The sequence below is a fragment of the Homo sapiens genome, chromosome 2 (assembly GCF_000001405.40).
Source record: "Homo sapiens chromosome 2, GRCh38.p14 Primary Assembly".
In the NCBI taxonomy this organism is placed as follows: Eukaryota; Metazoa; Chordata; class Mammalia; order Primates; family Hominidae; genus Homo; species Homo sapiens.
In genome coordinates this window covers 27,600,828-27,623,631 of record NC_000002.12, presented here as the reverse complement: position 1 = coordinate 27,623,631, position 22,804 = coordinate 27,600,828, and the positions used below count along the sequence as shown (strand labels likewise).

Sequence of the window (22,804 nt, the reverse complement as noted above, 5' to 3'; positions counted from 1 at the left end):
GCAATAATCATTCTTTTTTGTGTCTCTTGGTACGCCTAGACAAAAGGAGTTACTCTGTGTATACCCAGGAGAGAAACTGCTAAGTCTTCGGGTACATATCTTCAACTCTGCTAGATACTGCCAAATCACTTTTGAAGTGATTGTACCAATTTGCATTCCAAACCATGTATGAAAGTTCATAATACTGTCAAACTTAGTTTGTTAGTCTAATGAATTTTTTTTAAAAAAACTTTAAAACTCAATACTGTGATTAGAATAGTCTATACTGAGTCCTGCTGATCCCTGGTCTTGGTCAGGAAAAACGAAAGGAATGCCTGCAAGAGGTCCCTGGATGAAACTGGGCAAGTTTCCTATACTAATTCACTTTAATCTCAAACTACTCATTTTAACCAGCATAATTCATGAACCAAAGAATTACTGAGACAACTGCATGTGGAATTTATTTCAAACTCACCCCCATCTCTAGCCATCTTCTTACCCCCATACAGTGTCAAGGAGTCATGCAGCAGGTCGGCGTCAAAGAACACTGGAAACATCTTTCTGAGAGTCATTTATTTCTTTTGTCATTGCCAAACATTCCCCAGGTCTTACTCACCAGAAATTAACATAGCTTCTTCATTTCTCCTCCCTGACAACCCTCATCTACTGAAAGGGCTTTAAGGGCACACTGCCAATGAAAATGCAGAGTGCATATACCATGTCCTTAACTTGTTTCAAAACTACCTATTCTGGCAGTATCCAATTCAGGTTTCAGTGCTCCCTTGTTTGAAAGTGGTCTTCACAAAAGCCCACATTTTAAAGCTATTTGGAGGAGCACAAAGAGTTAAAGTGGTAATAGCCTTTCAGAATTTGAAAAGGTAGTACTTGTCTATATCAGGTTCATTTTTTATGTGGCATATGCCACAAAATAGGCAAGAATATATAAGACCAATATTTACGCAAAATGGGGAAGAGAATCCAGAAACACGACAACAAAGCTGCTCTAACCAATGTTCCAGAGAAAGCCACCCTCAAAGAGAAATAACCCATTAAACATTACCAGATAGGCATGAGGTACAGAAAAAGAATTTTTCTTTCCAGCTCCAGATAAATATCTACATCTGGTGTCAAAGTCTCAGGATATAAAGAGGAGAGAACTCCATATATAAAAGAGGATAGGACAATATTCTCAGAAAATTCAAAAAGACAGAGGTTGGCTAAGGGGATGGGTGGAAACAGTGGGGCGTAGACTAACAAGTAAGGTAAAGTCCAGGGAGAAGGAATGCGCACCTTGGTTTTCCCTTAGTGGCACTACCAGGAGCACTAGGAGACTGTCAAAACATCAGGGGCAATGTGATATTTCTCAATTCTTAAAACCAAAGAAGCAAAAATAAGCTTCAGAGGGCAAGTGATCATAGCTATGGATGAGGCCTCGGGCTCCAGGAAAGTTGGGGCAGTATTTATTGCTGCTTCTACTTTCTCTTTCCTGTCATTTTAATGTTTGGGTCACTTTACTCCTAAGGTTGCTTTTCATGTCTGTGGGTCTAGTCACTGCTACTTGGTACAAAGCATTTCCCAGTATAAACAGCATAGGGTAGTTCTAGAGTTTTCATCCTAAATCCGTTTTCTTACTTTCAATCTTAAAACCATATTGAGAGGACAAACAGCCTCCATAAAGTTTTTTTCCCAAGGAGACAGAGTAATCTTATTATGTGAATGACAACAGTTCTAACTTCTAGACTTGTTATATCACAAATACAAAATGACAAATCAGTTATGGTTTTAAAAAATTAGTTTGGAATGGTTTCACAAGCTAGATGATGGAGCAGCTACTAAATCAATGGAGCTTCCAAGAACATTCTATACCCCAGGAAGGAAAGGACAACCAAAGAGGTTTCTTAGTTTTGTACAGGGCAAGAGGAGCCTATAGTTGGCCTTGAGAGGGAGCTCTTTGGGCAAGATAAAAAAACAAGAGGACTTGACGAGGAATAGCAGGAAAACCTACTAAAAGGGGAGGGGGGAATCAAAATGTAAGAAGGGAAGACAGTGAAATTTACACAGGAGGAAGGAGCTGAGAAAGTCACAGCCTTACACAAACAGCTGAAAGAATCTTCACTCAGTCCTCCCAGCACAGGTCCCCGTGACAACAGCATCACATCTGCTTTCCTAGGAGCACTTTTACACTGACTGCCTATTTCCTTCCTCGTTTATGATTAGTCTTTGGGGGCTTTACTTTCTGGAACTGTGCTGGCACTGGCTCCTGCTCTGGTTCCTTACAGGAGGCTGACACTACCAGTTCCTCATTATTCCTCCTCTGATCCTTCCCTACTCTAAGACTCAGCTCTGTCTCGGGAAGCTCAATGCCAGGCTGCTGCCGCCTTCTTAGAGACCTTCTGCTCCTGTGCTGCTGCCTCCGCTTTTCTTCTTCTTGCTGCCGCTGCTTTATCTTCATCAGCTTTTCAAAGCTTTTGGTTGTTGTTGGGTTTACAACGAACCAGTCCTAGAGAGGCAAAATAGAAATGTCATCCAGTCGAAAATATAGTGAAGAACATAAAGAAAGGTGGAGGAAGAATGGAAAAAAGGCATGATTAGGGCAGAACACAGTAAGAAGGAAACAGATATGGAACCATACCTCAGGATTCTATATTTTAAGATGGAGAAATCCAACACAGAGCAGCTATTACAAGCACATATTTTGTAAGGCGTAATTCTAGGGACTTTAATAAATGATCTACAAAGTCTGTTTACTTAGCATCATCCCACTCTTATATCTCCTGAGTATAAATCTCATCATGAGATGTAACACACTGAGCCATAGGAGATTTTTATTCCATGACGGCATCGTAACTAAGAGCATAAATTTTGCAGCCAGACCCCCTGGGTGCAAATCCCAGCTCTGTTTCTAGATACGTGACCATGGGCGAATTACTTAACATTTTCGAGGCTCACTTTAAAAAATTAAGGGGTAGGGGACATGAAATCCAATTATGAAGTATTTTTGCCAAAAAAGAAAGAACTTCAATCTTATCAAGTGATCTGTTCAATCTTCTAAATCTACCAATTCATAGGAAAAGCCAGAATAGGGAGTTGAGCCCAATCTCTCTGCCCCACTGCAAGACTCCACTGCAGTGGTCCCTGTACCTCAAAAACAAACAACAACAACAAAAAGCAAAAAAGGAAATGGCCAGAATACAGGAATACTATCATAGGGTGCAATCAGCAAAATTCCAGAATGTGGGTACATGTATGTGACAAGTGATCCGGTTTCTTCAATAAATGGCAAATTTGTAAAAAAGAAGAGGAAGCTTTTAGTCTTGCACCATGCAATGAGATAGCCACTAGCCACATATGGTAAGTGATGTGTTTAAATGTGAGTAGAACAAATTAAGATATGCTTTCATGTAAAATATACAACAAATCTCAAAGACTTGTTATGAAAAAAATGTAAAATATCTCAATAATTTATTGATTTAATGTTAAAAATAATTTTAGATATATTGGGCTTAATAATTATTAACATTAATTTCATCTTTTAAAATACTTTTTTAATGTGGCTACTAGAAAATTTTAAATTATATACATGGCTCACAGTACTTTTTTTGGATAGTGCTGCTCTAGATTAAAACAAACAAATGCAATATTTAGACCTTGTTTTAGATCCTAATTTGAAAAATCAACTCTGAAAAAACATTATAAGATAATCAGGGAAATTTAAATAATAACTAGACATATGATAATATTAAAATTCTTAACTTTTTTAGGTATAATGATGTTTGTGGTCATATGTTTTCAAAAGTCCTTATCTCTTACAGATATATATTGAAAGAAGCACTTACAGCTGAAATTTTATGTGGAATTTGCTTTAAAGTAAGCCTTTAAGGGAGGAGAAAAGTGAGGTTATAAATGACACAAGATTGGCCATACACTGATGATTGCTGAGGATGGCTGACAGCATACTGGGTTCATTATGCTATTTTCTCTACTTTCATGTGTTTGAAATTTTCTGTTAAAAAAAAAAAAGTAGTGTAAGAAAATGTGATGGAGGGAGGAAGAAACAGGGTAAAGATGTTTTACCACCCACAAAATTCATAGAGGCATAAATCAATAAACAAATGCCTGGGAGCATGCCCCAAACCAAGTGAAATTTGTTGGTTCCAATTCTTTTGATTTTAACTTTTTAGGAAGAAAATAGACAAACCATTTAACTATATAAAGGCCAGATTTTGTCAGGAGATAATTACCTTTTTTTTTTAACAGAGTCTTGCTCTGTTGCCCAGGCTGGAGTGCAGTGGCGCAATCTCGGCTCACTGCAACCTCCGTCTCCTGGGTTCAAGCAAATCTCCTGCCTCAGCCTCCCAAGTAGCTGGGATTACAGGTGCCCGCCACCACACCCAGCTAACTTTTTAGTAGAGATGGGGTTTCACCATGATGGCCAGGCTGGTCTTGAACTCCTGACCTCAGGTGATCTGCCCGCCTCGGCCTCCCAAAGTGCTGGGATTACAGGCGTGAGCCACCGTGCCCAGCCGATAATTACCTTTTAAATACTTCCTAAAGCAAAAAAAGATATGCTATTATTACTAAAAAGATATGACTGCCTTCAGAAGACATCTCAGGCTTTGGTTAGGGATTCTGAAAGCTTATGCCAGTAAAGCAACAGAAACCAAATTTTATGGAAGTAATTAAAGCTCACATTGTTAAGTACTATCAAATTTGAGGGCAGAAAATAAATAAAGGTGTTCCCTTTATTTTTCCACATCAGGCAGCAATAGTTTCTGCAGTGAGATATTCCAAGAGAATGCAAATTGTATTCCTAAGCTGTTGTAGTAGGACTATTTAATTATATCATAAACGATTTCTCTGTTCACCTGTATTACTAAAAAACCTTCCCCAAGAGAAAACCCTTGACCTTCTGAACTTTAAAGCATTTTTATACACAATTTTAAAATTTTATTTTGAAAAATTACAAACCTTCAGAAAAGTTGCAACAGTTCAATGAACAATCAAATTTACCACTGTTAATTTCTTTCCTTCCTCTCTTCCTTCTTCCCTCCTTCTTTCTTTTGCTGAACTATGTGCAAATTAGTTGCAGACATCATAATACTTCATCCCTAAACACTTTGGCATATATCTGCCTAAGAACAAGGGCATTCTCCTGCATGACTACAACTATCACCTTTGGGAATGTTAACACTGACACAATACTATTATTTAATACAGTCAGCATTCAAATTTCCCCAACTGTCTCAATAATGTCCTTTAGTTGTTTTATCCAGTATTTTAAACAGCGTTAAAAATGGGTTGCTGGAAGACATTAGAATGCTAGAAGGCATGAATGTATAGAGATCACTGTGAAATAAGAATTTCAAACATGTAAACTCAATCTGGTTCCCAAACATTTGACTTAATTGGATTTAAAGGAATTAGAAGAGTTCAGGCCGGGCATGGTGGCTCACACCTGTAATCCTAGCACTTTGGGAGGCCAAGGCGAGTGAATCACCTGAAGTCAGGAGTTCAAGACCAGCCTGGCCAACGTGGCAAAACCCCATCTCTACTGAAAATACAAAAATTAGCCAGGCATGGTGGCAGGTGCCTGTAATCTCAGCTACTCAGGGAGTATTGCTTGAACCCGAGAGGTGGAGGTTGCAGTGAGCCCTCCAGATTGGGCAACAGAGCGAGACTCCGTCTAAAAAAAAAAAAAAAAAGAGTTCAAGGATGCTTACAGTCACAGTGATTTTTTTTTTTTTTTTGAGTCAGGATCTCTGTTGCCTAGGCTGGAGTGCAGTAGCGCAACCAGCTCACTGCAGCCTCAAACTCCTGGGTTCAAGTGATCCTCCTGCCTTGGCCTCCCAAAGTGCTGGGATTAGAGGCATAAGCCACCCCGCCCACCCCTCACAGTGACTTCAAATACTTTCACAGAAAAATACAATTATATATCTAAGTTTAGAGAATATTTTAACTCTAATGGCTCTGGTAACCACTTTAGAGATACTTTCCTTGACAGCCTTAGTCCATAACAATAGGGACAAAGTCTACCTCTCTTGTGGCTTACATATCAGGCCCACAGGATTACAAAAACCTCACCTCAGCATGGACGGAGTTGATGTGATACTTGACACCACTCTCTGACACAAATTCTTTCTGACATAGAAGACATTTGTATTTTCCAGCCACAAAGTTTCCCTATTTCCAAGAGAGAAACAAAAAAGAATTACTGGTAAATTCAGCAACATAACTGGGCTATGTGTAGGGATTGTTAGAGATGAAAAGAGGGAATTCTACTTCAGCAAAGATAAGAAGGAAAAAGATCCAATATAGTAATAGATTTAGGAAAACCAGCTTGGATGGATGATTATCAACATAAATCCATCCTAGTGCAATTCTGTTCCAATCACCCACCCTACTTCAACACAACCTGAAAGTCTCCTACTTTTTCTCAGGTAATATGCCACATCTTTCTACCTTCCTATGTTCCTTTCACTTCACTTCCAGGTTGTCTTGGTTCCTCCCCCAAAATGATCAAATGCCCAAAATTCACCAGAGGCACCAATGTACAATTCTTCCCACTATGATCTACTGTCGCAAAAAGTGCCTTCAAAATCCAGAATTAGAAGAGTACCATCCGTAATACCTAGTTTAAGGACTCAGAAACTAGGATCAAGATGACAAACTCCTAAGCATTCCTAGACAGATCTGGTTTAGATGCCTACAACTCCCTTGTTGCCTTGAACTGAGACTTCTCTCCCCTCCTGAAGCTTCAGGTTTCCATGGTGCTCATTTTGTGTGAGGAGATTGGAAAATGGCAGCAATTCCCATGGCTGGTAGGTTGTAGGACACCTGGGTCAACATGGAAAAGATTCAGTGAGGTGAATGGCTGTTAGCCTGACACCCTATCCCACCTCCCATCCCGAGAGGCCAGTATGGTTCAGATGGGTATAGAGGATCTTTACCAATCCAGGTAAGCACATGTAAGGTGATTCTACAAAGTTTTAGGCCCACCTAAACAGGGCAGGCCCAGTGTAGGAGATGCTCAAATGCAAGGAGCTGAATCTCTTAGAATTCAGGGATAGGAACTCAGAACAAATATATGTTTCTTCCAATTCCTTTAAATTGATAATGACTTGTGACTATGGTGATCTTTTCTAAGTCTTGGACATGCCCTGGCATCCCACCCAATACCAGACCAAGAATCTTAGAGACATAAAAATCTAAAGCAGCCTCTGAAGATAATGGTAAACAGGACAACTAGCTGTTCACCTAAACTGAATTCTCTTCCATGTCAGACTATTTTAGAGGACATGTTAAGATAGTAAGTTTAAAAAGTTACAAACCAATGTACAAGAGCCCAGGTGAGCTTTAAGGCCAGATACACTGCTGTAGACAGCCTCACAGCCCTGCAAAAGAGAAGAAATAGTATGAAGACTATGCCAAATAGCTCCCTTCTCTGAACAATCTGGCCATTTACACTGACCAACTCCACATTTGAAGGAAGAAAACCAATAATTTGTGCCACAAAACAAACGAAAAAAGAATATACATGCAAGCCGCAAAAGAAGGAAAGCCAAGGAAAGGTAAAAAGAAAAGAAACAGAAGGTGAACAAGTTGTTTAGGAAAGATTAAGCCATTTCCTTCCCTCAGTACTTTCTCTGACACTTAAGAGAAACACAGAAAATTATATAGTTTTTTTTAAAATCTGCTTTATTTAGTGCAAATGTGTTCCCACTTCTTTTATATTTACTCCTCTGCAAAGTACTGAATCTACTATAGCTGTGATAGTTTAAAGATGGCTCTCTCCCTCATCTTGACTCTAGAAAATAAAAATATTTTTAGAATCGTAAAAATAAAGATGGCTGCAAATTCTCTTCCACTCTTGCCATCAAGAAGTGGAGTCTATTTACCCTTCCTGTGAATCTGGGTTAGTCCCATGATTCCTTTGATCAATAAAACACCATGGAAGTGATGCTGTGCAAATTCTGAAGCTAGATTTTAAGAGATCTGCAACCCTGCTTTCATGATCTCAAAATATTCCCTGAGAAGTCAGTCACTGTGTACCCTGCTGGTAGCCCAGCTACTCTGCTAGAGAGAGAGGCCATATGGACAGCCAAGCTCCCAGATAAATGCAGCTGCACAGAAACCATCTTGAACATTCCAGTCTGAGTTTCCAGTTGAACGCACTTTTATGAGCGATTCCAGCTGATGCTACATATCGCAGGAGAACTGCCCTGCTGAGCCTTTACAGAATTATTGCTCTATGGAATTGTGAACAAATAAAATAATTGTTTTAAGCCACTGAGGTTCAGGTACTTTGTCATGAAGGAATAAATAACAGAAGCAAGAGCAGATGCTTGATAAACATTTACTGAATAAATGAATGAGAAAGAACCACCTGGTTAGGACACTGAATACGATGATATTTCTTGATATCTGTCTTCCATTTATGTAGTACTTCCTGGCTGAAGGTAGGGAGCCCTGGACGAGTATATTTTAACTACAAGACAAGACAACCAGAAACATTAGATAAATACAACTCCCAACCAAAATATCCCAAAAGTTTCACACCCAACTCTTTAGGTTATATAATTCTGAAATCTATACTCTTGTACACAAAAAAACTGTAAGATATAAGACCCTATAAAGTACCTGAAACTGATAAGTGTAATGGTCTATTGTTTGTCTTAGAAAAGTTTGATTTTTAACAGAGGACAAGAGACTCAGATATAATACTTCACCTACAGTTTAAAAAGAAAAAAAAGCTACAGAGTACTACATAGAATTAAAATATGTGTTAAAAAAGAAAGATTCATAGGTTCTAATGATTAGGAAAGAAAAAAATAAATTTAAAAAAAAAAGAGAGGGATACAAATTCGCATTCGTGTACTCAGTCATAGAAATAAATGTAGATGAGTAAAAGGTTAGAAGTGTATAAATCAAAATATTAACAGTGGTATTCTCTGGTTGAATTTTTTTTTTTTTTTTTTGAGATGGAGTCTTGCTCTGTCGCCCAGGCTGGAGTGCAGTGGCACGATCTCGGCTCACTGCAAGCTCCGCCTCCTGGGTTCACGCCATTCTCCTGCCTCAGCCTCCTGAGTAGCTGGGACTACATCTCTGGTAGGATTTTGAATCATTTTAATATTTTTTCCTATTTATCTGCATTTCTAATTTTTCTTCAATTATAACATGGTAATTTTGGTATTTTTAAAATTCTAAAACAAAAAAATTAAGGTTCAACATAAAACAGGGATGTGAGAGAAATCACGGAATAGAATACATAATATCTGCTTATACTTCAAAAGTAGAATTATTTCTAGCACTTCTTTTTACAGGCTTTGACATGAGTTGATCTCTCCTTACAACTACAACTAGAGTTTCCAGAGAGGAGAGAGCAACCTGCACAGACAGTTCTTGCAAAGTCCACCATGGGTAAATAGCTATATTTCTGGTGAGTAAACAATCTTTCTGCTTTGACAATGGAAGTATCTGAAAAGAAGCTGATTCTCTGCGACAAAAAAACACACCCAAAGCCCATAAAGGTAATGGAGGAAGTAAGGAAGGTAGCCCGAAGAACCTCTGGTAAATCTATAAAAGAATAGGGTACACAATACTTTTATAGAGTACAGAAGTGGCTTTATTTATAAGCATTTAGTCTCCTCTGAAGCTAGTGTAAATGGGCCTATCTAAAATCTTTTTTACAGCTCCATAGTACATAGTTTATATAAATATAATTATAAATGTATCATATATGATACATATTTACTATCATAAATATGATAGTAATAAACTATCATATTAGTAATAGTAATAAACTATCACATTTATGTAAATGAAGTACTATCCAGCTATAAAAAAGATGAGGATGATTTCTATGAACACATGTGGAGTAATTTCCAGGTTACACAGTTGACCCTTGAACAACATGAGTTTGAACTGTGCAGGTCCACTTATATGTGGATTTTTTCAACCAAACAAGGATCAAGCATACTGTATTCTCAGTACACAAAACCCATCTATACAGAAGACCACTTTTCATATACACAGCCTTGGCAGGGCTGACTGCGGAACTTAAGTATGCACAAATTTGGGTATTCACAGAGGTCCTGGAACAAATGCCCCACATGTACTGAGGGACAACTGTATATATATATAAATTTTTTTTTTTTTTTGAGATGGAGTCTCGCTCTGTTGCCCAGGCTGGAGTCCAGTGGTGCTATCTTGGCTCAATGCAACCTCCGCCTTCCAGGTTCAAGCTATTCTCCTGTCTCAGCCTCCCAAGTAGCTAGGACTACAGGTGTGCGCCACCATGCCCAGCTAATTTTTGTATTTTTAGTAGAGACAGGGTTTCACCATGTTGGCCAGGATGGTCTTAATCTCTTGACCTCATGATCTGCCTGCCTCGGCCTCCCAAAGTGCTGGGATTACAGGTGTGAGCCACTACACCCGGCCACAACTATATTATTAAGTGAAATAAAGCAGAGTATCAAAAAAATTATCTGTAGTAAGAAAGAAGGGGATATAAGAAAATATACATGTATCTGATGATCCATCACATAAAAATACAGGAAGGATAAACTAAAAACGAATGAGTTTGGTTATCTTTGGAGGTAAGTGGGAACACAGTAGAAAGAAAAGGGGAATGGGAATGGAATAGTTGGGATGAGGAGTAGTGACTCAGAACATATCTCTTTGAATAGGTCTGATTTAGAACCATGGTAGTTTCATATACTCCCAAAATAAATGAATAGTTACATTAAATAGGATGTAGGGGAAACCCAAAACTTAATAAAAATAACACATGAACCTATTACAAATAAATGACACAATGATGGGGGCAGGGAAGAAAAAACTAACCTCAGTAACTTTGGAAAATACTATTTTCACTACATACTGTAAGGCTCAAGATGAAAAGAAGTATACGCAAATACAGAAAATTTGTTTTTTACAAGGGAATAAGTTGGTAATTCTGAAACTATTTTATATACTACTAGAATTGAGTAAATAAGTAAATATACTGTGGATAATCAGAACCACGTTTCTCACTGTTGGAGAAAGAAGTTACAAATAAGGAAAAAGGAAGGCTAGAAGGAAACTTGTGGTGTTGGATTGGAAATGAAGGTCTCATGGCTTTTAATATACATACAGATAGACAGCCATAAAATAAATATGGATGTGTATGTGTGCATGTATGACTATACATGCCTTTATATCCTAACTCTATCCACCAAGAAGGCACAGAAACAATGACACTCCAGTAGAACTAGCACTTAAATGTTCACTTCTAAATATATTCTTTAATAAAAGGAACCAGGATTCCTTAGAGAAATGGTTGATTCCAGGGCTGGGGCAGGAAAAATGGAAGATAAGCCTACGGCCTGTCTTATCATGTCATAAAGTAAAAAATCTTCTCAAAAAAGGATAGGGGATGTCAAAAAGACACAGGAGCCCACTTGAAAGAGCGCTCAACTGCCAAATCCAGGACACATTGAGCAGCAAAATAAATAATAATAGCATTGGATTATAACCCATGGAATAAAATAAACATCATTGAGTCTTTACTTATACAAATAGAGAAAAACAACAGATCTTTTCACAGTAGAGTTCTAATCAATAATTATAGAAAAAACGATGGAAACTGAAAATCATTATGTAAACATCACAGGCATAACTGTTACAGGCGGCCACGCACGGTGGTTCATGCCTGTAATCCCAGCACTCTAGGGGGTGGATCACAAGATCAGGAGTTCGAGACCAGCCTGGCCAATATGGTGAAACCCCGTCTCTACCATAACTACAAAAATTAGCCGGGCGTGGTGGTGCACACCTGTAGTCCCAGCTACTCAGGAAGCTGAGGCAGAAGAATTGCTTGAACCCGGGAGGCGGAGGTTGCAATGGGCCGAGACCACGCCAATGCACTCCAGCCTGGGTGACAGAGTGAGACTCCGTCTCCAAAAAAAAAAAAAAAAATGCTACTGGCAAATATTGTCAATGGATGCTAATCTAAGAAGGCAACAGTATGATAAGAAACAGGATATGTGCATATTCCATCTCCCCACAAAATATCCACTAATTACAAATGGGAAGATTATAGTTTTGCCATTGAGATACTTAGAAAACACACCCTAAGCAACTGATCAAAATTATCATCATCAGTAAGAGACATATCAACATCATATACCTTTTGATATGATACATGGAGAAGGGCCAACATGCTTCAGTGGTATTCTTGCCAAGAATACCACTGAGAGTCATGATACTCTCAACCTAATCTTGAGAAAGTATCATGCAAATCCACACTGGGGAACATTCTACAAAATAACCAGCCAGTTCTCTTCAACAGCATCAAGGACACAAAAGACAAAGCCAGGGGAACTATAACAGATTGGAAGAGACTAAGGAGCCACAGAAATGAAATAAAATGTGGTATCCTGATAATATCCTAAGATATGGTTATGTAAGATGTTGGCATTAGGAGAAGCTAGGTGAAGAGCATTTGGAAACTCTGCTAACTAGTCTAAAATTATTTCAAAATTAAAAGTTTTTAAGAAAGAATATACATTGCTTATATGTACATCAAGAAACAGTGGAAAGATGCACAAGAAGCTAATAAGAATGGTTAACCATGGGGACAGGACAGAACAAGGACAAGGTGGGAGTGGGCTAATTCAAGGTTTAGCATCATTTTGAGTTTTTGAACCATTTGAAGAATATGTTATCTACTCAAAAAGATTAAATTTTTATATTTAAGAAAGAATAATGCCTTTTATCTATACGCTGTCGAAAATATAAACCAGGCCACGCACAGTAGCTCACGCCTGTAATCCTAGCACTTCAGGAGGCCGAGGCAGGCGAATTGCCTGAGCTCAGGAGTTTGAGACCAGCCTGGGCAACATGGCAAAACCCATCTCTACAAAAAATTAGCCAGGCATGGTTGTATGTGCCCGTAATCCCAGCTACTTGGGAGGCTGAGGCATGAGAATCACTTGAACCTGGGAGGCAGAGGATGCAGTGAACCGAGATCACGCCAGCACTCCAGCCTGGGTGACAGAGCTAGACGCTGTCTCAAAAAAAAAAAAAAAAAAAAAAAAAAAAAAAATATATATATATATATATATATATACACACACATATATATACACACACATATACACACATATATATACACATATACACATATATATATATACACATATACACATATATAACCTATTTGATGATTTTAGGAAAGCCTCTGCTAGATGAGAATACCCAACTTTATCAATGAGTTAACAAATATTTATTTATTTATTTTTTTTTTTTTTGATACGGAGTCTTGCTCTGTCACCCAGGCTGGAGTGCAGTGGCACAATCTCGGCTCACTGCAACCTCTGCCCCCCGGGTTCAAGTGAATCTCCTGCCTCAGCCTCCCAAGTAGCTTAGAGTACAGGCAAGCACCACCATGCCCAGCTAATTTTTTGTATTTTTAGTAGAGATGGGGTTTCACTGTGGTAGCCAGGATGGTCTCAATCTCCTGACCTCGTGATCCGCCCACCTTGGACTCCCAAAGTGCTATGATTACAGGCGTGAGCCACCACGCCCGGCAACAAATATTTATTTATTTATTTATTTTTATTATTATTTTTTTGAGATGAAGTCTTGCTCTGTGGCCCAGGCTAGATTGCAGTGGCATGATCTTGGCTCACTGCAACCTCCGCCTCTCAGTTTCAAACGATTCTCCTGCCTCAGCCTCCCCAGTACCTGAGACTATAGCTGGGACTACACATGTGTCCCACCTGGCTAATTTTTTTTTTTTTTTGAGACAGATTTCTGCTCTTGTTGCCCAGGCTGGAGTGCAATGGCACGATCTTGGCTCACTGCAATCTCTGCTTCCCAGGTTCAAGCGATTCTTCTGCCTCAGCCTCCCAAGCAGCTGGGATTACGGGCACTCGCCTCCACGTCCAGCTAATTTTTGTATTTTTAATAGAGAAGGGGTATCACCATGTTAGCCAGGCTGTTCTCAAACTGCTGACCTCAGATGATCGGCCCACCACGGCCTCCTAAATTGCTGGGATTACAGGTGTGAGCCACTGTGCCCAGCCACTAATTTTAAAAATATTTTTAGTAGAGACGGGGTTTCATCATGTTGACCAGGCTGGTCTCGAACTCCTGACCTCGTGTTTCACCCACCTCAGCCTCCCAAAGTGCTGGGATTACAGGCGTGAGCCACTGGGCCCAGCCAGTTAACAAATATTTAAATTTCCTTATGATATCCTATGCGTACTGAAACCTGACTGTAATATCATGAGATAAATATCACTGTGCAAAACCCACATTTAAATTGGATTTAGATAGCCATGTACTTTAGCCTGTAGCAGGCAAAAAAAATGTAGAAATAAGTCCAAAACAAGAAAGTATACTCTAATATTCAAAAATACAATCCAACTCCTTGGACACCAGTAGTGTCCACCAGGAGTGCACACCTACCACTCTGGACTAATTTTTAGACCAAAAAAGACATAAGTGTTAGAAACTAGGGTTTGACCTTCTTTTCTTTTCTTTTCCTTTTTTTTTTTTTTGGAGACAGAGTCTCACTCTGTCACCCAGGCTGGAGTGCAGTGGTCCAATCTTGGCTCACTGCAACCTCCACCTCCCGGGTTCAAGCGATTCTCCTGCCTCAGCCTCCTGAGTAGCTGGGATTACAGGCACCTGCCACCACACCAGGCTAATTTTTGTATTTTTAGTAGAGAGGGGGTTTCACCATGTTGGCCAGGATGGTCTCGATCTCTTGACCTCATGATACACCCACCTCAGCCTCCCAAAGTACTGGGATTACAGCCTTGAGCCACTGTACCCAGCCTTATTTTCTTATAAGACATAACATTCCTCTCACATATGTCAGAGCCCTATGCCAAATGTGAACTTCTTGATACCCTGGAGAATAAGAGACCCTTTGCTCCTCTCTTACTTCTTATTATGTATCCCTTCAACCTGTTCCCAAGACTATCCGATAGTCATATATCCTTGTCTTCTTTTGGCTAAATAAGGCCCCTTCTTCTATGATCTATTCTAATAGATTCTAATAGATCCAAGGGCTTCCAAACAGGTTCTGCACCCCTCAGAAGTATGCTTGGGGCCGTGTAGGGGAACAATAAAAGTATCAAGAAGAAGAAGGCCAAGTAGACAAGGCTTTGGGCTCACTACTCACAGCTACTCAAAGCAAATCTGTTTTTAAGTTATTTTATATACTGGTGTTTTGCATAGGATTTTATTTTGAAAAAAGCGGGGGAGAGGAGTTCTGTTACTACAAAACAAACTGAAACCATTTATCTCAACTAAATATAAACTACTACATATGACCTAGCAAAACAAAAACACATTACACAAATATCTAATCTAAGAATTCAGGTTCCCTCTGGAAGTAGTCCAGAATTAAGAGGGCTCTTTAAGGAACTTATGAAACAGACTGTCACTCTAGAACCTAACTGAATCCAAACACCGAAGCTAGATCAGATGTACTCTATCTCCAAAGATAAACAAACAAAATACTGCCTATCACGTACTTCCTCAAGTGCATTTACTTCTCTGTGTACAGTAGGCACAACGTTAGACATAATGGTTCCCAAATTGATACATGTTTCTGCCTTACCTTTCGATCATCAGGTACCAGGTCCTGAAGCACCTTCCTCTTGGGCCATTCCTTGGCCAGTTCAGCAGAGGCCAGCTCCTGTAGGTGGTATACAGCTATCTTGGCAGAACGTCTCTGAACTCGGCCCCCACTCTTTGACTCTAGGTTCATCTCCTTTAAGCACTCTGGCTGTCCTGACTCTGGAAAGAAGGATATCTGCAAGAATGAGACACAGCAAAACACAGGCCTGATAAGTGGCATCCATCACAGCCAGTGATTAAAGGCTGAGCTTCCTGCTCTAAATATCAAAAGAGCTATGTAGTAGATTGCTAACCACTAGCATCAAGTTCCACCATATTAATGTATATTTTACTGGTAAAAAAAGCTTCTTAGGGCCAGGCGTGGTAGCTCACTCTTGTAATCCCAGCACTTTGGGAGACCAAGGCGGGTGGATCACCTGAGGTCAGGAGTTGGAGACCAGCCTGGCTAACATGGTGAAACCCTGTCTCTACTAAAAACATAAAAATTAGCTTGGCATGGTGGCACACGCCTGTAGTCCCAGCTACTCGGGAGGCTGAGACAGAAGAATCGCTTGAACCAGGGAGGTGGAGGCTGCAGTGAGTGAAGATTGCGCCACTACATTCCAGCCTGGGTGATAAAAGTGAAACTCTGTCTCAAAAAAAAAAAAAGGCCTCTTAGTGGTTAAAAGACACATTCGTATACAAAGAGACAAATCTTAACCCATCCCTCACACTATATATAAAAATTAACTCAAAATGGACCATAGCCCTAAATGTAAAACATAAAACTATAAAACTTCTAGAAGACAGCAAGGGAGAAAATGCGTGTGATCCTGTGTATGACGGTTTTTTGATGTGTCAAGTTGGCTGGGATACAGTCATCAGTTAGTCAATCAAACATAAATCTAAGTGTATTGATGTGAAGGTATTTTGTAAATGTGATAAAAGTCTATAATCAGTTGACTTTAAGTAAGACAGATCCAGCAGAAGAAGAGGCAGGAGAGATTCAAAGCATGAGAGACATCCAACCTGCTGTCTCTGACTTGAAGACAGCCATGAGCCAGGGAATGCAGGTGGCCTTTGGAAAGGGAGAATTCTTAGCCCACAGCAAATAAGGAAAGGAACTCCTGCAACTGCACGGAACTGAATTCTTGAACAATCTGAATGAGTCTAGAAACATGTTCTCTCACTAGAGCCTCTAAAAAAGAACAGCCCTACCGACACAGATTCCAGCCTGGTGAGACTCTAAGCAGAGGAACCAGATGAAGCATCCTGTAACTGGATTTCTGACCTAAAGAACTGTGAGATAATAAATGTGTGTTGTTTTAAGCCATTCAGTTTGTGGTGATTCACAGTAGCAACAGAAAATTATACACTGAGGGCCAGGCACAGTGGCTCATGCCTGTAATCCCAGAACTTTGGGAGGCTGAGGCAGGCGGATAACCTGAGGTCAGGAGTTCAAGACCAGCCTGGCCAACATGGTGAAACCCCATCTCACTAAAAATACAAAAATTAGCCAGGCACGGTGGCGGGCACCTGTAATCCAGCTACTTAGGAGGCTGAGGCAGGAGAATCACTTGAGCCCAGGAGGCGGAGGTTGCAGTGAGCCAAGATCGCACCACTGCACTCCAGCCTGGGCAACAGAGTGAGACTCTGTCTCAAGAAAAAAAAAAAGAAAGAAAATTATACATTGAGTTAAGCAAAGATTTCTTAGATATAAAAAAGCATTATCCATAAATGAAAAAATACATAAACTATATCAAAATTTAAAACTCTGTTCTTCAAAAGACAATGTTAAAAAAAAGATAAAGAACTTGTATCCGGAATGATAAAAAAACCCAGAATATATCCCAAACTTAATAAGACAACAAAAATCTTCCCCTCAAAATGAACAAAGGATTTGAACAGACACTTCATTAAAGACATACAAATCACCATGGTGTAAGCACATGCAAAGATGGTCAACAAGATTAAGCATCGTTAGTCATTAGGGAAATGAAAATTTAAACCACAGTTAAGTACTACTACGTACCTATTAGAATGGATCAAAAAATAAAATTGATAATAATAAATGTAGACAAGGATGCAAAGCAACTGGAGTGCTCATACTTCGCTGGGGGAATGCAAAATGGCACAGCCACTTTAGGAAACAATGCAGCAGTTTCTTATGAAGTTAAATATACATTAATCATATGACCCAGAAATCTCATTCCTAAGTATTTACCCAAGGGAAATTAAAATTTATTTTCACATAAAAACCTTTTTTGCCAGGTGCAGTGGCTCATGCCTGTAATCCCAGCATTCTGGGAGGCCAAAGCAGGCAGATCACTTTAGCCCAGGAGTTCAAGATCAGCCTGGCCAACATGGCGAACACCCATCTCTACTATAAATACAAAAATTAGCTGGGTGAGGTGGCACTCGCCTATAATCCCAGCTACTTGGGAGGCTGAGGTGGGAGGATGGCTTGAGCCCGGGAGGCAGAGGTAGCAGTGAGCCAAGGTGGCGCCACTGCACTCCAGCCTGGGCAAAAGAGCAAGACCCTGTTTCAAAAAAACAAAACACAACAATCTTTTCATTTTTTGTTTTTGAGTCAGGGTCTTGCTCTGTCACCCAGGCTGGAGTGCAGTGGCACCATCTCGGCTCACTGCAATCTCCGCCTCCTGGGCTCAAACCATCCTCCCGCCTCAACCTCCCAAGTAGCTGGGACTACAGGCGTGCACCACCCACACCCAGCTAATTTTTGTATTTTCTGTAGAGATGGGGTTTCACCATGTTGCCCAGCTGGTCTCGAACTCCTGAGCTCAAGCAATCCACCTGCATCAGCCTCCCAAAGTGCTGGGATTACAGGCATGAGTCATTGTGCCCAGCCCAAAAACCTTTGTGAATGTTTATAGCAGCTTTATTCGTAATCATCAAAAACTAGAAACAACCAAATGTTCTTCAACTGGTAAGCAGATAAACGACAAACTTGAAACATCCATATAATGAAATCCTAGTCAGAAAAAAAAAGGAATAAACTAATGATACATGCAACACATGGATGAATCACAAATGGATTATGGTAAATGAAAGAAGTCAGACTGAAAGGCTACATGCTGTATGATTCAATTTATATGACATTCTGAAAAGGGTAAAACTATAGGGTCAGAAAATAAATCAGTGGTTGCCAGAGGCTGTAGCTGGAGGAAAAGGCTGACTAAAGGGACACAAGTCAACTTGAGGTAGTGATGGAATTGTAAAACATCTTTTTTTTGTTTGTTTTGAGACAGAGTCTCACTCTGTCACCCAGGCTGGAATGCAGTGGTATGATCACAGCTCTGCAGCCTCAACCTTCTGGGCTCAAGTGATCCTCCCACCTCAGTTTCCCAAGTACTTGGGACTACAGGTGTACACCACCATGCCTGGCTTATTTTTTCATTTTTTGTAGAGACAGGGTCTCACTATGTAGCCCAACCTAGTCTCAAACTCCTGGACTCAGGCAATCCACCCACCTCAGCTTCCCAAAGTGCTGGGATTACAGGTGTGAGCTAAGGCACCCCGCCTAGTCTATGTGTTGAGTGTGATAGTGGTTACATGACTGTATACATGTGTCAAAACTCTTATAATTATGCACTAAAATGGTAAACATTACTATGTGTAAATTGTATCTTAACAAATGACTCTAAAAAAAAAGAAACCACAGGGTGGGAAACCTTGGAAATGTAATGAGAACAAAAAAATTTAAACCAAAAAAATGAGAGGAACCAGCTGGACAGATGCCCATAAAAGCTCTAGCTATGGGGGAATGCCTTTAGTTTTAAAAGTATAACAATGGGGCTGGGCACAGTGGCTCACGCCTATAATCCCAGCACTTTGGGAGGCCGAGGTGGGCAGATCACCTGAGATCGGGAGTTCGAGACCAGCCTGGCCAACATGGTGAAACCCCGTCTCTAATAAAAATACAAAAATTAGCTGGGCGTGGTGGCACGCACCTGTAATCCCAGCTACTCGGGAAGCTGAAGTAGGAGAATTGCTTGAACCCAGGAGGCGGAGGTCACAGTGAGCCAAGATTGCTCTACAGCACTCCAGCCTGGGCAACAGAGGGAAAGTCTGTCTCAAAAATATATAAATACATAAATTAATTAATTAATTAATTAAATAATGGGCTGAGCAGGGTGGCTCGCACCTATAATCCCAGCACTTTGGGAGGTCAAGGTAAGAGGATCACTTGAGGCCAGGAGTTTGCGACTGGCCTGTGCTACATAATGAGACCCCCGTCTCTACAAAAAATTAAAAACGAAGAATTAGCTGGGCATGTGACGCAAGCCTGTAGTCCTGGCTACTTAGGAGCCTGAGGCAAGAAGATGGCTTGAGCCCAAGAGTTCGAGGCTGCAGTGAGCTATGATCCCACCACTGCACTCTAGCCTGAGACAGCAAGATCTTGTCTCTTGAAGAAAAAAAAAAAAAAAAATATACACACACACACACTATATAAAAATATATAAGATATAAAATATATAATAATGAGTTTACTTCTGCCTGGACTATACTTTGAATTTTGATTTATCTAACCTAATAATGTTAAAAAGGCAGAAATAAGGACAAAGAACGAATAAAGAAGAGACAACACACAAGCATTCAGAGATTAAAAGAGGATACAAATGAGGAACCAAACACATATGGGAAGATAGAGGGGTAAGGACTCACCACGAAATACATCCCCACGCAGGGTATAGAAAGGAATCAGTACTCACAGGCCCATGCTCTGACCTCAGGTGATATGCAAGTCCAGCCTTCGACCTATATGGTTTTCCACAGTGGTGACATTTCAGGGTCATCTTTTCCAGCTCTGCAGCCCCTTTGCCACATTTTCTGACATGGTAGAGATATCCCATGATGCTGGTGAAGCTACTGGAGCAACTCTGAACAGAGGAGAGAAGCCTAAACTATAATCTTACATCTTTTGACATGATCCCTAAATTTCTAAACAGCCATAAAGCATTCACCACCACAAAATACAAATAGACCCTCTGATTTCAGTAGACCCTCTCCAACATCTCCCATCAGCACAACCCTTCCTTGTCTCTGGCCATCTTACTCTGATCAAGCATGATTTTCAATCAGCTTAGTCAGCCCTTGATAAACTATAACTGTGCATCTACTCTATGTCAGAGCTTTCTCCTTGGTCTGTGATCCAACCCCATCCCAATATCAAATACCCAGCAATATATACCAAAGTCCAGCACAGTGAGGGGTCACTGGGATCCTCTTCATCACATTAAAAAAAGGATGGTAAGGAAACCCCATCAAACAAAGGGAAGGGGGAGAAAAATAAATTTTTGGAAATAAGGAAGAAAATAAACAACTATTAATGATTCAAGAGACCAAGATAGTACAGAACTAGGAAGTCTACAATGAGGAAGAGAAGAAATGGAAAGAAGAACGAAAGACATTGACCTGAGAATTCAGGCAGAAGGAATTGCTGTCCTTGGGCCCTTACCTCACGCATGCACCTGAGCTTTCCCAGTCTCTTTAGAACTGTTCGGAGCCTTTCCCTCTCACTTGGCTCATCTATTTCATCTCCGGCTTTCAAAATGGGCTAGAAATCAAGAGAAGTAAACAAGAAGATGATTCATGGAAAAGATAAGACACAGGGAAAAAAAATATCAGAGGAGAATCAAGGATTGGACTGGCAGCTAAGCTGGTGCCAATGAAGCCCAAGTTTTCTGACTCCTGGTGTTCTCCATCTTCTCCTGGACAAAGGAAGTGAATATAATGGAAATAAGAGTTCTGAGCCTCTGACTCCCAAGATATGAACCTTTGGAGCTAACCTAAACACACAAATATTTATGGATTCACTGCAAAGGTTTCATTGTGCATAACTCTTTTATCAAAACGGTCTTCTTGCTAACACCCTTATAAAATCCCAAAGCCATCTGCACTGAGATATCTACACTCACATAAGTAAAAGACATCCAGGCCGGGCGCAGTGGCTCACGCCTGTAATCCCAGCACTTCGGCAGGCCAAGGAGGGTGGATCACCTGAGGTCAGGAGTTCGAGACCAGCCTGGCCAACATGGTGAAACTCAGTCTCTACTAAAAATACAAAAAATTTCTGGGCGCGATGGCTCACGCCTATAATCCCAGCACTTTAGGAGGCCAAGACGGGAAGATCACCTGAGGTTGGGAGATCGAGACCAGCCTGACCAACATGGAGAAACTGCCATCTCTACTAAAAATACAAAATCAGCCAGGTGTGGTGGTGCATGCCTGTAATCCCACCTACTCGGGAGGCTGAGGCAGGACAATCGCTTGAACCCAGGAGGCGGAGGTTGCGGTGAGCCAAGTTTGCACTGCTGCACTCCAGCCTGGGCAACAAGAGTGAAACTCCGTCTCAAAAAACAAAACAAAACAAAAAAAATTAGCCAGGCGTGGTGGCGCACGCCTGTAGTCCTAACCACTCAAGGGGCTGAGACACGAGAATCGCTTGAACCAGGAGGTGGAGGTTGCAGTAAGCCGAGATCGTGCCACTGCACTCCAGCCTGGGCAACAGAGTGAGACTCCATCTCAAAAAAAAAAAGACATCCAAACACTCACAAAAGACAGAAGACACTCTTACCAAACTATTATGATTTGCCATGACATGATACTTCATCCCTGCCAGTGAACGAAGTTGTTTCCCACAATGATGACAAGTAAACATTTCCTAGAAGGAAAAATACTGCTCAGTGCTAGGTTGTTCCACAGAGAAACAGAATGTCATGAAGTCCGACTCAAATGCTTTCATCTATGTCTCCTTTATTTCTCAAGCTCAATAGTCAATAAATCTCAAAATCCCAGAAACTCAGTGTCATGTCTTCAAGGGCAAAATAAAGGCAATTCACTTTTAAAATAATAAGAATTACCATTAACCAAATATTTGCCAAGTAATGGGCTAGGCATTTAGCCCTGCGTTACTTCTTTCTTATCCTCTCATGGACTACATAAGGTTTTTATTATTTTGTATTTATTATTTTTTCTCTATTTTACAAATGAAACTGAGGTCTACATATAAAAAGCTAAATGCCACACTAGTATGTGGCTAAGAGAAGATTCAAACCTAACTCTGTCAGATCCAAAGCCTATGTTTCCTTTATTATACAATGCTGCTTTTCATCCATTATAACCAGCATATCCAACATAGCAAAAGAAGTCTAAAGTTTGGGTAAAAATATCGTAACAGTTATGAAACGCC

General features: G+C 40.3%; 1 protein-coding gene across 6 annotated transcripts in view; it reads right to left on the bottom strand.

Moving 5' to 3' along the window:
• Nucleotides 1–414: 414 nt before the first annotated feature.
• The window catches only part of ZNF512 (zinc finger protein 512), a 40,176-nt gene continuing 17,786 nt past the window's right edge, over nucleotides 415–22,804 (bottom strand). For all 6 annotated transcript variants that reach the window (NM_001271318.2, NM_032434.4, NM_001271286.2 and 3 more), the window contains 8 exons: nucleotides 22,190–22,276; nucleotides 21,071–21,169; nucleotides 20,325–20,492; nucleotides 15,593–15,787; nucleotides 8,363–8,464; nucleotides 7,308–7,370; nucleotides 6,061–6,159; nucleotides 415–2,479 (listed from right to left, as the gene is read on the bottom strand). In NM_001271318.2, the coding sequence (NP_001258247.1) occupies nucleotides 2,171–2,479; nucleotides 6,061–6,159; nucleotides 7,308–7,370; nucleotides 8,363–8,464; nucleotides 15,593–15,787; nucleotides 20,325–20,492; nucleotides 21,071–21,169; nucleotides 22,190–22,276 (1,122 nt within the window). In that variant the 3' untranslated portion in view covers nucleotides 415–2,170. The remainder of the gene's footprint in view (nucleotides 2,480–6,060; nucleotides 6,160–7,307; nucleotides 7,371–8,362; nucleotides 8,465–15,592; nucleotides 15,788–20,324; nucleotides 20,493–21,070; nucleotides 21,170–22,189; nucleotides 22,277–22,804) is intronic.